Source organism: Homo sapiens, chromosome 7 (genome assembly GCF_000001405.40).
Source record: "Homo sapiens chromosome 7, GRCh38.p14 Primary Assembly".
NCBI classification, from domain to species: Eukaryota; Metazoa; Chordata; class Mammalia; order Primates; family Hominidae; genus Homo; species Homo sapiens.
The window spans coordinates 78052269-78070213 of NC_000007.14; the positions used below are offsets into that span (position 1 = coordinate 78052269).

General features: G+C 42.3%; 1 protein-coding gene across 15 annotated transcripts in view; it reads right to left on the bottom strand.

Annotated features, from left to right (window-relative positions):
* Window positions 1-17945, bottom strand: part of MAGI2 (membrane associated guanylate kinase, WW and PDZ domain containing 2) — a 1436613-nt gene that overhangs the window by 35214 nt on the left and 1383454 nt on the right. For 10 of the 15 annotated variants that reach the window (XM_017012845.3, XM_017012846.3, XM_011516718.3 and 7 more), the window contains one exon: window positions 13306-13394. The exons of the other annotated variants lie outside the window; for them this stretch is intronic. In XM_017012845.3, coding sequence (XP_016868334.1) covers window positions 13306-13394 — 89 coding nt within the window. The remainder of the gene's footprint in view (window positions 1-13305; window positions 13395-17945) is intronic. 15 annotated transcript variants of the gene reach the window in all.

Below are 17945 nucleotides of genomic sequence, written 5' to 3' on the forward strand. Positions count from 1 at the left end.
TGGCCTGCTGCCGTCCTCATGGGACTGAGTTCTCCTTCTTGGTTTCCTGGGGAACGAGTTGTTGGAAAGAGCCTGGCACCCCCTCCTCTTTCTTGCTTCCTCTCTCACCACGTGACTGCTGCACAGTTTCTCTACACCTTCCGCCAGGAGTGGAAGCCGCCTGAAGCCCTCACCAGAGGCAGATGCTGGTGCCATGCTCCACAGCCTGCAGAACCACGAGCCAAATAAATCCCTCTGCTTTATAAATGACCCATCCTCAGGATTCCTTTTATAGCAACAAAACAAACTAAGACAAAGGGGCAGCCAGGCATCCTGGACCATTGCTTACTCTCAGCAATGGGGACTTTTCATTATATCACACGGCCCCTGCCAGAGCTCATAAATGCTTGGCTACTGGGGAAAAAAATACTTTAATAATTTACTTTATCACCCAAGAGTGGCTCCCAAAGCTGGTTATATATGACAACCAGAACTGACCCCCTATAAGAATGCAGGTACACTGACCCACTGGTTTTGCTCTTCAAAGTTACCCTGAGGAAATAATCAAGGATATATATGGGAAGATACAGCTTCAAGGATTTTTTTTTTTGGTAGGATTTTTTTAAAGTAGTGGAAAAATTAGAAAATTAAAATTAAAGAATGATCATCCCAATAGGAGACTGCTTAAATGATAAATGTATAGAACTAAATGCTGAGCAGCCAGTAAAAACAAGGTATAGAAGGATATTTATATCATGGAAAAGTAGTCGAAATATTGTCAAATAAAAAAAGCAGGTTTCAAAATAAAATGGTTACATTTTTAAAAAGAGAATTATTTTACCTCTTTTGATTATTTTCTGTTTTTGAGGTATTCTATAATTAACATGCAGTATTTTGTTAAAATCAGAAAAGTTACCTAAAAAGAGAGCCCATTAGAGCATCATTTGAGAACTAACGCTACTTGCAGAATGGCAGTAGGAACGTTTTCAAAATTGAGATTTTAAATACATCCTTTTAAAATGTCTGTCCTAGGAGTTTTAGAACATTAGTCTTTCAAAGAGCTTTGTCAGATGTGTAGGTGAGGAGACCCTTAATATAGAAGCTGTCCCAGGACTGTGTTGTCCCCTGTCTGAGGGTGCAGGGAATTCAGCGGGAGGGGCCGTTCTCTGTCCCTCCTTCCCCTCTCCTTGTCAGATTGGCCCCAAGGGGGTGAGGACCTGTGTGGACAGACTGGCTATGCTCCTGCCATGGGAATATGCATATATTTGAAGGTCAAAAAGTGAGGCCAAAGCTTCTAAATGCTTCTCTCTGGAGTAATCTACTAACCAGAAATTCAGAAAAACATAAACACCTTTCCTTTATTTTCTCTTCTGAGGTCTCTGGCAGGACCAGATGGTTTCTGGCTGTCTTTTCCCATTCTCATAAGCTCCAATCCCCAACTGTGAGTCCATCTTTCCCTGTTTCAAAGTAGAAGTGCCCATTTATTGGGGTGGGTGGATTAAGGAACGATCAGGTAGAGAAGGATGACAAAAACGCGAAGTGAGAAAAAATTTCAGCTGAAAAATTGTTTACTCTTTGCTGGGCTATAGAGGTGAAAATAATTGACTGGATTTTGTTGCATTCTGTTCAGCAGTCCAAACTGAACCTCCAGCTTGCTGTGAGGTATTAAAGGCTTAGTTCCAGCCTTTTGATTTTTCAAGCACACTTGTACTCCCCCGAGATCTACCTCAGAATCTGCTGGATCCAATACCACTTTCTTTTATGGATTGAGTTTATTTTGTACCTTCTCTTTATAAGTGGAGGAAACCAGGCCTTTCAGTTAGATATGGTAGTTCTTTCTCAAAATGGACTCACTTTACACAGCAATACACATATTTTATTTTATTTTATTTTTTTGAGATGTGGTCTCGATCTGTCGCCCAGGTTGGAGTGCAGTGGTGTGATCTCAGCTCACTGCAAGCTCTGCCTCCTGGGTTCCAGCTATTCTCCTGCCTCAGCCTCCTGAGTAGCTGCGACTACAAGTGTGCATCACCACGCCTGGCAAATTTTTGTATTTTTAGTAGAGATGGGGTTTCACCATGTTGGTCAGGCTGGTCTTGAAATCCTGACCTCATGATCCGCCTACCTCAGGCTCCCAAAGTGCTGGGATTACAGGCGTGAGACACTGCGCCTGGCCTAAAGGGATATAATTTTTATTCTGGGATGCTGAAGACTGGAGAGGCAGGAATTCTGTCTTTAAAAAGCCTCCATCTCACTCTACGGACATTCTCCTTCACATGGGTGTGTGTATGTATTATATTCTTATGTAACGATTATTTAAGCCCCTTCATTCATAGGCATACTTTTTTTTTTTTTTCCTGAAAGACCATAACCTTCTGGAGGGAAGGACCTGACTTGCTATTTCACTTAATTTTTTTTTTTCTGTTTTGAGACAGGGTCTTGCTCTCTGTCACCCAGGCTGGAGTGCAGTGGTGCAATCACGGCTCACTGCAGCCTCAACCTTGTGGGCTCAAGCGTTCCTCAACCTCCTGAGTAGCTGGGATTACAGGCATGCACCACCAAGCCTGGTTAATCTTTGTATTTTTTGTAGATACAGGGTCCCACTACGTTGGCCAGGCTGGTCTGGAATTCCTGGGCTCAAGCGATCTTCCTACCTTGGCCTCCCAAAGTGCTGGGATTACAGGTGTGAGCCACTATGGTTGACCTTAACCTTATTTCTTTTTCTTATTTCTTAACCTTATTTCATTCATTCACACAATGTAGGCCTGCCTTGGCCTCCCAAAGTGCTGGGATTACAGGCGTGTGTTTTTTTTAAATAGGTGACATCCACTGGTGTGAGGTGATACCTCATTGTGATTTTGATTTGCATTTTCTATCCAGTGTTAAACATGAGGCTCTGGGCACAATCATGCTTGCAAATAATAGATCTAGTGCTTTGGAACTGTGAAACAGATAAGATAATAACCTAGTAAAAATTTCCTGAGAGACAAGGTCACAGAAAGGCAAAAAGAAAGCCATGATCTTCATGTCACATTTTGCAATACTAAATAACCTTGCAATGTTTACATTTACATTACCTATCCCCATAGGGAGTGCCTTAGCCTGCCACTTGCAGCTCCCAGTGAAGATGAATGGAAACGCTTTTCCCTTGTCAGTGTGCTTCTGAGTCAGAATCAGGATTGTGTTCTATTAGTATTTGTCTGTTTTGCAAGCTCCTACCTAGAGTGGCTGTCAAGACAATTGATATTCTTCCTCCCTACTGAACCTGGGCTACTGTCTATAATAAGTCATCGTGAAAAGAGGTGGGGTACAAAGGAATATAAATAAACCACCGACACCTCCCAGACCCTGGAACCTCCTTTTCTATACATGCAGTTCTACTTCCTTACTGCCCCTGGTAGAGTCCTCCTTCCAAAATCAATCAGGGGCAGGACCCAAAACAATAGCAGCAAAAACAGAAGCTGAACAAAAACCTGATAACTAGAGAGTGAACTGATGATAATGCCAACCTTATGATAATGAGCTGCCTGGCTCCTACTGATTGCTCCTTTAAGAAACTCAGCACCTCTTATCTAATTGTCCTGAAGGCTGCATAATGTATCAAATGAAGCTCAGGAAGGGGGGCAATCCTCTGAAGTAACCTCCGCTGAAGGCTTAGGGCTGCTGGAGCTCCTGTGTGGCAGTGTCTTTTTTTTAATTATTGTGGTAAAAAACATAAAACTTACCATCTTAACCATTTGTAAGTGTGCAGTACAGTAGTGTTATGTGTAACAGATCCCTAAAAGTTCATCTTGCAAAACTGAAACTCTATATCCATTGAACTCACCCTTTCCCTCCTCCCCAGCCCCTGGCAACCACGTTCTATGTCCTGTTTCTAAGAGCCTGACTACTTTAGATGCCTCATGTAAGTGGAATCATGCAGTATTCATCTTTTTGTGACTGGCTTATTTCACTTCCCATAATGTCCTCAAGGTTCATTCATGTTGTAGCAGATGACAGGATTTCCTTCTTTTTTAAGGCTAAATAATATTCCATTGTAATACCATTTGACCCAGCAATCCCATTACTGGGTATATACCCAAAGGAATATAAATCATTCTATTATAAAGATATATGGATGCATATGTTTACTGCAGCACTATTTACAATACTAAAGACATGGAATCAGCCTAAATGCCCATCAATGATAGACTGGATAAAGAAAATGTGGTACATATGTACCATGGAATACTATGCAGCCATAAAAGGAACAAGATCATGTCCTTTGCAGAAACATGGTTGGAGCTGGGAGCCATTATCCTCAGCAAACTGACACAGGTACAGAAAACCAAACACTGCATCTTCTCACTATAAATGGGAGCTGAATGGTGAGAACACATGGACAAATTGAGGGGGGAACAACACACACTGGGGCCTGTCAGGGCTTGGGGGGAAGGAGAGCATCAGGAAGAACAGCTAAGGGATGCTGGGCTTAATACCTAGGTGATGGGGTGATCTGTGCAGCAAACCACCATGGCACATGTTTACCTGCATAACAAACCTGCACATCCTGCACATGGACCCTGAACTTAAAAGTTGAAGAAAAAAGAAATTCCACTGTACGTAGGTGTACACACACACTGACACACACACATCCCTCCCACATTTTCTTTATCCATTCATGTGTTGATGGACATTGAGGCTGCTCCACCTTTTGGTTATTATAAATATTGTGAATAATGCTGCAATGAACAAGAATGTGCAAATATCTCCTTGAGATCCTATATATTTTATATGTATAAATATTTTTATGAGTGTGTCTATATATATAAATTATATATATATATATATAAAATCTCCAAAAGTGGGATTGTTGGATTATATGGTAATTCCATATTTAATTTTTTGAAGAACCTCCATACCGTTTCCATAATGGCCACACTTGCAATCCCACAAACAGAACACAAGAGTTCTAATTTCTTCACATCCTTGCCAACACTTGTTATTTTCTGTGTATTTTTATTTTTATTTTTGAGATGGAGTTTTGCTCTTGTTGCCCAGGTTGGAGTGCAATAGTGCGATCTCCACTCGCTACAACCTCTGCCTTCTGAGTTTAAGTGATTCTCCTGCCTCAGCCTCCCGGGTAGCTAGGATTACAGGTGCCCTCCACCATGCCTGGCTAATTTTTTGTAATTTTAGCAGAGAAGGGGTTTCACCATGTTGGCCAGGCTGGTCTTGAATTCCTGACCTCAGGTGATCCACCCAAAGTTCTGGGATTACAGGCGTGTGTGTTTGTTTAAATAGTTGCCATCCACTGGTGTGAGGTGATATCTCACTGGGATTTTGATTTGCATTGCCCTGATAACTGGTGATATCAAACCTCTTTTCTTATGCTTGTTGGCCATTTGTGTATTTATGTCTTTCACAACCATAGCACAACTTGGGGTTTCTAGCCAGAGCTTTTTTACATGCCTTGGAGCTTTGGATGTAGAGAGATTGGGACATGGTTTCACTGTATTTGATCACTGAAAGGCAAGCAACATTTCACTTACATGGTGAGTAAGCAGTGAGATTTTTTTTTTGCCTGGGCATTGCCTGATATTTTACTTTGAAAACAAGCTAAAGATATTGACTGCTGTATGCCCAGGGGTAACAAGCTATTGATGGCTATAATGGAAAAGGCCAACTGAACAGATGTATTTTACTTAGAAGAGATAATTTTTCTCCCCTCTGGCATTTTATATATATGTGTATATATATATATATATATATATATATGTATGAGAAACATCTTGAATATAAAAAGACATTAAGTATTCCTGCTAGTTGCTTTTTCTGTAGTAGTGAATTTTCATAAGGAATAGCAAAAAGACCCAACTCCTTTTTTTGAAGGTACTATGCTAACATCAAACAATCTTTCATCAGAAAAACCCAGTGTATGAAAGCAGCTCCAAGTGGTCATAGTACAATGATTGTGTCTATACATTAAAGTTGGGGTTATGAGGGAAAGTAGCCTCTGTATCACTGCTCATGTGTCTCAAAGTAGCAGGAAGGTGACACAGAGCCTGGAGCCGGCAATGAGGGAATGTCTGTGTTCTTGCTCGCCTTTGCCAGCCTCCCTCCCCCCACTTTTCCGTGCCCTTCCCTGGGGACTCCATCTGCTCTTTCGGTTTTAACTGCTGAAGCCACAACTATGATGCAGTTGCTTGTTGTGAATCACTATTTGAATGTTCACATACATCTTAAAATTCCTTTTTTTTTTTGAGACGGAGTTTCGCTTTGTTGCCCAGGCTGGTGTGCAATGGCGTGATCTCGGCTCACTGCAAACTCCGCCTCCCGGGTTCAAGCGATTCTCTTGCCTCAGCCTCCTGGGTAGCTGGGACTACAGGCGCCTGCCACCACGCCCAGCTAATTGTAATCCCAAAGTGCTGGGATTACAGGCGTGAGCTACCACTCCTGGCCACGTGTTTTTTTATACCCTCAGATTAATTCATTCATAGTACTCTCCATGTAAGCATTAAAAAGGAACTAAGGCATCTTATAACTGAACCCTATTATTTTATGGATGAGTAGACCAAGGTCCAGAGAAATTAGGTAATTCTTGAAAGGTTGCACAGCTAGTTAACGGCATCACTTTAGAATTTTCCTATGTCTTTTTCCCTGATGATGGCTCTGCCGTTTTCTCAAATACTTAGTTTCTAACGTGGGGATACTTTTTGAATCCTTCTTAATTCTTAGTCCCTTTATACCATCATTCAGCAGGTTTTATTGATTCTTCTTTCAAGGCTCTTGGTATTGACAACTCACCTGCATCTTACTTCTGTTTTTAGTTTCTCATTACCCCATCCCTGCATCTCCTAGGTTATCTTAATAGCTTATCTGATCTACCTCTAGTCCACTGGTTCTTAGCTCTGGCTTCTCATCATATTGACCTGGGGCATGTTAACAACAGCAGAAGCCCACCTCTGCCTGCCAGTCTTTCCCACCCCGTTCTGGTTGAATTGGTCTAGGGAGGAGCCTCTGTGGGTATTTTTCAAATCCAAATCCACAGGTGATGATAATGGGTACACAGGATTAAAAACCCTTTCCAGAAATGTTTGCCACCACCCATAAAGCACTTCTTTGGCAGTGTCAATATGATGCTTGAGAACTTTCTGTGCCTTCTCATTGTCATTAGTTTCTAGATATCTGCTTCTTCCAATCATTCAATGCTTTTGTGACTTTACCTTTTGGTAGGAACCCTATGCTCTAGATATATCATTTGCGTGTCAGCTTCAAAATCATCTCTGACAATATCCTACATTCGTTTCAAGTTGTAGAGCCCTTTGCTCTCCTCTCTGCCCATCTAAAATCCACTGGCTCCTTAAGGGTATCTCAAGACTACCTTCCTCCAAGGAGCCCTGTCTGACTATTCTGGTCATTATTTCTGCTACTTGCCTCAAATGCTCTTATTCTGGTTTGTACTCTCTTATTCTAAGTAAGAATTTTCAGCTCTTTAGTGAGATGGAGAGCTCCTCGAGGGAGGAACAATGCCATATATATATATATATATTTTTTTTCTGGAGTCCCTACAGCATCAAACAATGGCTGACATATAAGAGGCAAATTTGGTTAAACTTGGTAGAGACCCAGGAGACTAGAAGGGAGCTTAGAGAATTTTCGTGGCAGCCCCTTTTCCACAACAGAAAGGCAGGCACAGAATCTCATTCAGACAGACCTAACATTAGCTCTCATTCCACAGGTCCTGGCTACCTTATGTCTCCAGGAGACCGTGCTAGACATGGCATTTCTGTAGCCCAGCAGCACTGGCATATTAGACTACAGTTTGTGCTGCCAACATAGGTCACAATTACAATGTGAGAAAAAACACTTTGTAGTAACAGTAAAACTTAGATGAACCAGAAGCAACTACCTGGAACATTCAAGTAGCCAGTTTTCTTCCACTCAACAATTAACACAGAGATACATTACATGAGAATAAGTGGATAGGCAGGAAATTATTTAAAAAACAAAAGGGACCCCCCCCCCTCTTTAGATTAGATTGAGAGTGTCAGTGAAAATTTGGGCCACCAATCTTGTGGCTTCTACAACCATCTAAATAAAAACCTGCATTGAAATTTGCTGTCAGAATGATGACCTCGTTCTGACAAACATCTTGATAAACTGCAAGATGTTTATTCATCCATTCACTTACTTATTCAGTCTTTCTTGTTGTCCTCAATCTGCTAAGCACTGTACAAAGAACCTAGGTTCCTGGCTTCAAGGAGTTTGAATACCACAAAGGGGAGGAAGTATGTGGACACTGATAACTATGCTGCAAAGCAGAGAGTGAGAGAGAACAGGAAAGAAGCATGAGGGCTATGAGACTTCAGACGACTGAGAGATCCCTTCTGATTGCCGGACTTGGGAAAGGATTCATGGAGGAGGCAAGCTTTGGACCTGGATCTTGAAGGAGGACAAGATTTGGGGAAAGGGTTTACTAAGCCAAGAAAACAGCATGTGCCCAACCCTGAAGGTGGGGATGCAGGTCAATGACAAGTGTTCCCGTGTAACTGGAACACATCTATGTAATGGAGTATTGTGTGAGATAGGAGATGAGAGTGAATAGCAGGATGGGGCCAAATCACGGATGGCTTGGGGATGCACTTAAAGGTTTTTGTTGGGTGCAGTGGCTCACACCTGTAATCCCAACACTATGGGGGGCCAAGGCAGGCAGATCACTTGAGGCCAGGAGTTCAAGACCAGCCTGGCCAACATGGTGAAACCCTGTCTCTATTAAAAATACAAAAAGTAGCTGGGGGCGGTGGCATATGCCTGTAATTCTAGCTACCTGGGAGACTGAGGTGAGAATTGCCTGAACCCAGAAGGCAGAGATTCCCCTGAGCCGAGATTGTGCCACTGCACTCCAGCCTGGGTGAAAGAGCAAGACTGTCTCAAAAAAAAAAAAAAAGGTTTTCTTTTTTTTTTTAGATGGAAAAGATTTTGAGTGGGGCAATCCTTTAGGACAACTGTGGCATCAATGAGCAGGGAAGATATACCATAGCAGTATAGCAGTAGGGCAAACAAGTAAAGGCTGTCTAATCCGGGGGAGTGGGCCTGAACTGGGACAGAATGACAATGGGAATGGAGGAGAGGCTGATGTGGGAAATGAAAGAAGTATGCTCACATCTGGGGACTGGTTGTACACACACACACACACACACACACACACACACACACACACACACACACGAGTGGGGAAGCCAGCCAAGGTAGTTTTGAGCCAACCAGGAGGGTTGATGGCCCCTTAATTAATAGGTGATTCAAGAGGAGGAATATTTTGGGAGGGAAGGTCATGAATACAATTTTCAATGCATAAATGCAGGGTATCTGGGTAGAATTGTCTAGCAGGCAGTTTGAAGTCTTGGGATGAAGCTGTGAAATGAAGGCAGGGGTGGCAAACAGACACAAGAGTCCTCTGCACAGTGGGACAGGTGGAACCATGAGAGCAAGAGAGATCCTGAAGGAAAGGGTGGGGAGGGCTGTTATGGGTGGAAAGAGAGTTGAAGACCCCAGAGGAGCAATTGAACAGGTAAGAGAAAATCCAGCGAATACACTGACCAACAGTGTTAGTTGTTACAGGGGCTGACGGGTTGAATCCGTCATTAGATTTTGTTATCATAGTGAAACTGGAGATCTTTGAGGGGACTTCGTCATTGGAGTCTTGATAAAATTCAGATTTTAAAATGCAGTATGTCACAGGAAAAGAGAAATTGGGCAGAGCATGCCTGTTTCCAGAATACCTTATACATCAGCCGGGAAAGGAACCCAAGAAATGATTTCAACAAGAGTGCGACATTTTTTTGTTTTGGTAACCTACAAGCACCCCGTTTTCCTTAACCCTTCCCCATATAGAGAGTTACTTTAGTGTAGAGATGGTATCTTACTCATCTTTGCACTCTGACCACCTCTGCCTCTGAAAAAAGAAAGCAGAAACAACAGGGCCTGGGCCCCCATGGCTGGAGCTAAGTAGAAGCTCTAGTTATCCGAGGTGGGTGTCCACACTGGGTGGGTTCCTGGAGTGGCTCAGAACATGGGGAGGCATGTGGGGAGGGCCTATAGAGAGGTCCATGGAGTAGCAGGCGAAGGCCACTTCCCACCCACAATCCACACAAAGCCATCATGTCTTGAGTGCTATGTGCCTGGCATTGCGCCAGTCCTCTCCACTCCTTTTCTAACTTGCTTCCCAGCCTATCTCTGGGTGGTGCAACCACTTTTTCATCTAGAAAATGGGTAATTATTTTTGAAGCCCCTCTCTGGCTTCCAAATTGCTTTTCTCTCTGGTTCTCTTCCTGTCTCTCAGATTGCCCTCTCCTGATTTTCTTCACCAACTTCTCTTACTTCCCTGTCCAATGTGGCTTTGTCATCTGGCGCTCCTCTCTCTGTATGCAGTGGGTGCTCTCTGGGAGAGCTCAGCCCCACTTATGGCTCCAAGTCCTTTCCAGGACTCCCCAAATGCTCCGGCTCCAGCTCCTGAGTGCCTCATCCAAGTGCCCTGTTTCTGGGCTTCCTCACTTAAGTGTCTCTCAGGCCTCTGAAGCTCAGTAAGTCCAAAATTCCCCTCATCATCCTTCTGCCTAAGCTTGGCCCTTCACTTGTGTTTCCTGTTAGCTTCCTGACATCATCTCCCACCCAGCCCAGGGCCACAGTCCTCCTCTCTGATCCTGTCCTTCACATTCATTATTCACCAACCTTCTTTATTTTCATCAATGAAATGACTGAAATATCCCCAATATCCAACCCCAATGTGCTATTTCCACCACCACTTTCTTAATTCCAGCCCTCACGTCATTTGCTTCAACTTCTGCAATAACATTTTAACTGCCTGCATTTTTCTATAAAGCCCATCTTAAATACTACTGAGGTATATTTCCAAATACAGATGTTTTTACCCTCCCATTAAAAAATTTCTTTTGGTGACATCTGATTATATAAACCTCAGATTCCTTCGCTTGGGATAGAAGGTATTTTTTTCTTTTCTTTTCTTTTCTTTTGAGACAGGGTCCCACTCTGTCACCCAGGCTGGAGTACAGTGGTGCAATCATCGCTCGTTGCAGCCTCAAACTACTGGGCTCAAGAAATCCTCTTGCCTCAGTTTCCCAAGTAGATGGAACTACAGTCATGTGCTTGCACACCTGGCTAATTGTTTATTTTTTTGTATAGATAAGGCCTTGCTATGTTGCCCAGGCTAGTCTCAATCTTTTGGCCTCAAGCGATCCTCCTGCCTTGGCCTCCTAAAATGTTGGGATTACAGCTGTGAGCCACCGTGCCCAGCCAGAAGGCTATTTTTTAAAGGGCTCCTCTTTCATTTTGGCTATCCCCCTTTGCCATTTAGCCTATGTTATAGCTGTTCTGAACACATCTCCCTGACTTTCCTTGAACCATTTCGTCTGCTTGGAAACAAACAGGCTTATCTTTTTTCCACTCTGGTGAAAGCAATGCCCAGCTAAAATTTTACCACTTGGGTAGAATTTTCTACAATTCTGCTAAGCAGATTAGTTTACTGCCTGCTTTGGGTTCTTATCACCCTTTGCTGATACTATTGATCTTGCCCCATTATGTAATTATCTCCCTGTCTTCCATCCTAGCTTATGAATGGACATAGCAGAGCCTTTTTATTAATCTTTATATCCCTAGCAATGAGCAACAGGCCTGGGGTCACAGGTGGTGCTTGACAGATGCTTATGGAACTGAACTGAAACCACAAAGAGCCCTCTCTCTCTTTTTTTAAAGTTAATGACTCTAGTGAATTGACTCAGGCCTCCTCATCCCCATGGATTACAGACTAGTTAAAGTAAATTATATGGCAAGCATAGACTTTTCTTTTGTCAGAAACAGAAATCTATCCCTCCTTAACCTACAGTCATTGGACTAGATTTCCCCAATAAGTATTCCATGGCTTTATCCCTTTTCTAGCACATTGCAACTTTCTCCTTTATGCCTTAACTTAGCTATGTAGTTTTCCCTGATCAGCAAGTTACCTTTTGAGAGACATACTTTGGAGAAATGATACATTTAAAATTTGTTTTTGTAGATAGCTTCAAGGAATGACTGTGATGGTTTTGTGTGTGTGTGTGTGTGTGTGTGTGTGTATCTACATAAATTTATATAAGCATAAAACTTTTTGATAAGAAAATGTTTAGTAGTAAGCCAATTAAATAATTTACTTAATGAATAATGTTGTCTTTTATGTTAAATTCTAGCCAGTCCTGGATGGTAATTAGCAGGGTCATTAACAATTGGAAAATATGTTTCAGAAAAAATTCAGAGAGCCAGTTTAAAAGAATTTGGTGGAGGGGTGCTTAGCCATGGTTGTGACAGTGTGAATGGGATAGAATCAAACCAGAATTGAGAAGTGTGTCAGTTTGATTTATACTTATATGGCTAACCATGGAGACTGAGCATGAGTACAGTTTCTGCTAAAAAGCCAAAGTGACATATAAAATCCCAGTCCAGTTAAATTGCGGCAGTAGCTACATGCCACTGCAGAATGTGACAGTGAAATGTGGGCTGCTCTAGGGATGTATTTCAGGGGTAAAAAGTTGCTTGAACCATGGTTGCAAGGCTATCATCTACATTCTGATTTTTTAAAAAATTATGGGTTACATTTTCTTTCCTTGAGATTTTTTAACCAAGGCTAAAATATAGCCAACACTTGAGAATATTCCTTTTGAAACAGTAGCGAATACTAACTCGATGTAAAGTTATGACTACTTTAAAAAAAATAGTCACAATTGGGCCCTTAAAATTTTTTTTTTCTTTAAACTTGGTGCATCACTGAGTATGGAGGAAGGAAGGTGACAGGATCTTGTCCTGATTGGATAACTGCCACAGAGCAGGCTGGGAAATACCCATGATGCCAGGTGGAGTTTGGAGTTTCTAGGGCTAGAAGGTCTGGCAACTGTGGCTCTCTTTCTATCGGACACAAAAAGGATAGCTTAGGTTACAGCTGTCTATACTTTGGCTGAGAGGAAACAAATTTAGTGACTTGCACTGAATCCCAGGGAGGATGCTCTGAAATATGTGGGGTGGAACGCGGCCAGTGCTGCTCTGCTGTTCTCTACCTGCTTCCTTCCTGCTGGGGTCATTCTAGGCTGGCCCCTGCTAGAATGCGGTGCATCTCAAATTTTCATGAATCTGCAAATCTTATCCTTATCACTTATAAGGTCTGAGCTATACATATATTCCAGAACTCTAGAAATAATTAGACAAGCTACTATGAAAGAGAAAGCATTATACATCAGTTAAAAACATATGCAAAACCAAGGCTCATTAGAGAAAGATAATATTCATGCAGATTTTACAAACCGTGTCTTTAGGGTGGCCCAATAAGTAGAAATATGGGGACCCATGCTTGTCACTTTTCATGCACATGGAGAGACTGGAAGGTACCATTCCTAAAGGAAGGGGAGGAACAGCCTAGGACCAATCATTAGAATTAACAGAACCAGTAACAAAGATATATTATTACTGTTAGAATCAAGATTGCTTAGTATGTTTAGAGCAGTTGAATAAAAATTATCTAGGCAGTAAGAATAAAGACTTTAAGTAAAGCTAACCCTATCAAGCATGCAGCAAGTGAAATTAGTGAAAGACTGAGCTATATGTGTATTTCAAAAGTAGACTTTTCTCAAAATATTGAGGGCATCCTGAGGTGCTTTAATGGAGGCACAAATGTTAATAAAATTTGAAATGGTAATATGTAAATTCTTGTAGGCTTTTCTCATAATAATGAGATGTTTTAGGGATATCAACTGTCATTTGAGAATCAGTCACAGTAATCATTTCTAAATTTTAAAAGGATTATAAAAATAAATACGTAGTGTCCCCATGTTTATATTTTCTCTAATAATCTCATAAATTCATAGAGTTCCCCTTACCACTAAAACTTTGCGTATTAAATTCAAAATTCATGGTCAGGCACGGTGGCTCATGCCTGTAATCCTAGCACTCTGGGAGGCCGAGGTGGGCGGAACATTTGAGGTCAGGAGTTCAAGACCAGCCTGGCCAACATGGTGAAACGCCATCTCTGCTAAAAATATAAAAATTAGCTGGGCAGGTTGGTGTGCGCCTGTAGTCCCATCTACTTAGGAGGTTGAGGCAAGAGAATCACTTGAACCCGGGAGGCAGAGGTTGCAGTGAGCCGACATAGCACCACTGCACTCCAGCCTGGGCATCAGAATGAGACTCTGTCTTAAAAAAAAAAAAAAATTCATAGTTGACTTGCTGGATATAATTGCTTTCTGGAAGAAAATAAAGCTGAAAAAAAAATGCAGCAGTGTCTTGCCTGTTCTGTTCCACTGTACTCACCTGCTGTGGGTTGTGCTCTGAAACCAACCTCTTCGTGGTGGTCTTGGTCTGAATCTAGCTCAGATCATGGACTACAGTTCTTTACCTATACAAAGATGAGTACTAGAAATTCTGGAATATCTAGATTAGTAATTTCCAAGAGACAGGCCCCTAGAAGAGGCAACAACTGCTTCCTGCACTGCCTGTGTTCTCTCAGCTCTGCTCAGGGTGAGATAAGGGGGATGTGCTCATTGTGAGGTTAATGTGATCAGAAGAACTTAATCCATGCAGCTTGGATGTGTTGAGGCCTGATTTCCTCTTTGCCAGCAAACACTGATTCTCCCCGTCTGCATGCCCAACTTGCTCCACACGTGGTGCTATGTATATACGGCTTCAATGTGCAGAATGGAATTGCACTCCACATCAATTTTGGGTTTTGCCACATGGGGTGTTTTTCATAGCACGGTGTGTTTGAGGAAAGGGAGAGTGCAGGCGGAGCCCTAACACCTCGAGGTTAAATGGAAAGTAGAACCTCTGGAGGGTAAGGAAGCACATGCTTAACAATAAATGTCAGAAGTAGAAATTAAATTTCACGATTTATTAATTGAGTTTACCACTTAGCCCTGCCAAGATGCAAGTAATTTTGTGCAAAAATGATCAAGCTGTTTCAGTGTCACACAGCGAAGGCTCTCATTTGGTTTTAAACATGGCCTTTACTGGGCTTGGAAGATACACGTGCCAGGAGACCTCATGCCCAGAAGGTCAAATAAAAGTGCCCAGAGCATGGTGGAAATAAATTGCTGTGAAGGCTGGAGTAGAAACTGCAGTGAAATGTGAGAAACAGAGAGTTGCATACTGTGCTAGGCATATTAATGCATACATTATGAGTGTATGTGTCCAATCCTAAAACCCAGGATCCCAATAAGGCCAGGGTCACTCTTGAAGAGTGCATGCTGAACCGACCAGAGACCTTGCTACAGAACTGTAAAGGCAGGTTATTTTGAAAGCAAATGTCTGAGCCACTTTATAGTTAACAGCTATTTAGTCTGGGCTAAGTGTGCATTTGTTGTTCTATTAAAAAAATATTGAATCCAAACAGCACATTGATGAATGTGTGATTCTTAAGTTTAGAGATTTTGTTGTAGTTAGAGCATACAATTAAAGCCTGGAGTAAGGCATTATATGACTTTATTTCTGATCCTGACTGAAGGTCTATAGTTAAATATTGGGAGTTCTTATCAGAACAGGACATTGGGGCAATGCTAACTTCGAGCAAGGTTGTAGGCAGTTTGTGAATAACAAAAATCTGGACTTATGGTAAAAAATACAGAGATAATAAGACGGTTATTGGTTGCCAGGGGTGGGTGTGGAGGGAATGGATGAATAGATGGAGCACAGAGGGTTTTTAGGGCAGTGACACTATTCTGTATGATACTACAAAGGTGGACACGTCATTAGACATTTGTCTACACCCATAGAATGTGCAACAGTGGTCTCCAACAATTTTGGCAACAGGGACTAGTTTTGTGGAAGAGAATTTTTCCATAGACCAGGTGGGGGTAGGGGGATGGTTTCAGGATGAAACTGTTCCACCTCAGATCCTCAGAGCATCAGGCATTACATGCTCATAAGGAGCAGGCAACCTAGATCCCTTGCATGTGCCATTCGCAGTAGGGTTTGCGCCCCTATGAGAATCTAATGCTGCCACTGATCTGACAGGAGGTGGAGCTCAGGCAGTAATGCTCCCGTGCCCACTGCTCACCTCCTGCTATGTGGCCCGGTTCCTAACAGACCATGGACCAGTCAGGATCTGCAGCCCAGGGGTTGGGGACCCCTGATATACAACACTAAGACTGAACCCTAGTGTCAACTGTGGACTCTGAGTGATAACAATGTGTCAATGTAGGTTCCTCAGTTGTAACAAATGCACACTGTGGTGGGGGTGCTGATCATGGGGGTGGCTGTGCATGAATGGGGGCAGGGAGTATATGGGAAATCTCTGTGCCTTTCTCTCAAATTTGCTGTGAACCTAAAACTGCTCTAAAAAATCAAGTCTTAAAAAAAGGTGGCCTTATGGACTCACCTGTTTGTTCCACTGGAAATGAGGGGTTTAGAGTACTTTGGTTAAAAAATTAAAGCTTGAGTTATTTGACTAGGGGAAACCAGGACAGGGCAGTAGGCATGGGCCTGGCTGAAGTGATGCCTTGGAGACTGGACCCTTGCTGGTGATGGCAATTGGTTGGACTTACCCTGGAATTTGTCTTAAGATACTGGACTGTACTTTGAGCAGCCGGGCTTTGTTGTTAAACTCCTTAAGATCAACATCTTTTCTGTAATGTCTCTATTTCAAGACATGAGAAAATGAGACTGGAGAAAACAGCTTTGGCATGTAGCACCAACTTCTTAATAGGTCCAGCTGAGAGGTTCGAAGCCTTTTCTGGAATCAACATTCTCACATTGTGAACTACAGGGCCAGACTCTCCGTAATGAGGAGAGCTCAGATTGTCAAAAAGGCCTGATATGGAAAATGGGAAGACAATGGGAGGAAAATCTAGTTTCCTTTCTCTAAGTTGCAAGGGCTGACAAGTCATAGAATGGAGAGCAATTCAGACTTGATGGGCAAAGGCTGAAGGGGTGGGGCACACTCAAATAGTGGGAGGCCATGGACAGAAAGAGGACAACAAGTAGAAACTTCGGCAGGCCTGGCCTTTACAATAGAGCTAGAGCAGATACGTCCGGCAATCCCCAGGATATATTCCCTGAAATCCCTGGAATGATATTAATATTTTAAAAATATAGAGTCCTGGACTGAACTGACTCAGTCAGAATCTCCAGAGGGTATGTGGAGAGCGAGAGGGAATGCAGGCATCTGTGTATTTAAAAGGCTGAATCATTTCTCTAAGACTGTGTGTGTATGTGTGTTTGTGTATGTGTATGTGTGTATGTGTGTGTGTGAGAGAGAGAGAGATTGAAAGAAAGAGAGAGGAGAGAGAGAGAGAGAGAGAGAGAGAGAGAGAGGCTTCTGATTCCTCTTAAAGAAGTGTTAATTTTTCTCCTCTTCTGCATTTTAGGATTTTCTTAGTTTCCATATTTGATCTTGTCCCTTGATCCTCAATCTCAACTCCTCACCCCACAATCCCCGGTTGTGTAAGAAAAATTTTCTTGAATTGGTGACTTCTTTAAGGTCTTCCCCATAGTTCTTACAGTATTCAGCAATGTTTCCACTGAGACAGCTGCCTTTTCTCCTGGACTCTTAGGGAAAGCAGCCCTCTTGCGGGAGAGCTCAACTTTGTGTTGGGGCAAGGAAGGGAATGTTCCTATTAGATCCTAAAATATGACTCTTCATGATGGGTTACTGGAGGAGCTGGAACCTTTAGGTTTTCCAAGATGTACATGGGTGCTCTTCTTGATGAAGTTTGGGAAAAATACCTCTTTATTCACTCATCTTCTCCACGACTTAAGTGTTTGGGAATTGAGGAAGGCTGGACCTTAATAGCTAAACAGGTTCTTCTTGGTAGATTTCTTGGTCACTATAAACACACACACACACATACACACACACACACACACACATATATGTGTGTGTATATATATACACACATATATATACACACACACACATATATATATATATATATATATATATATATATATATATA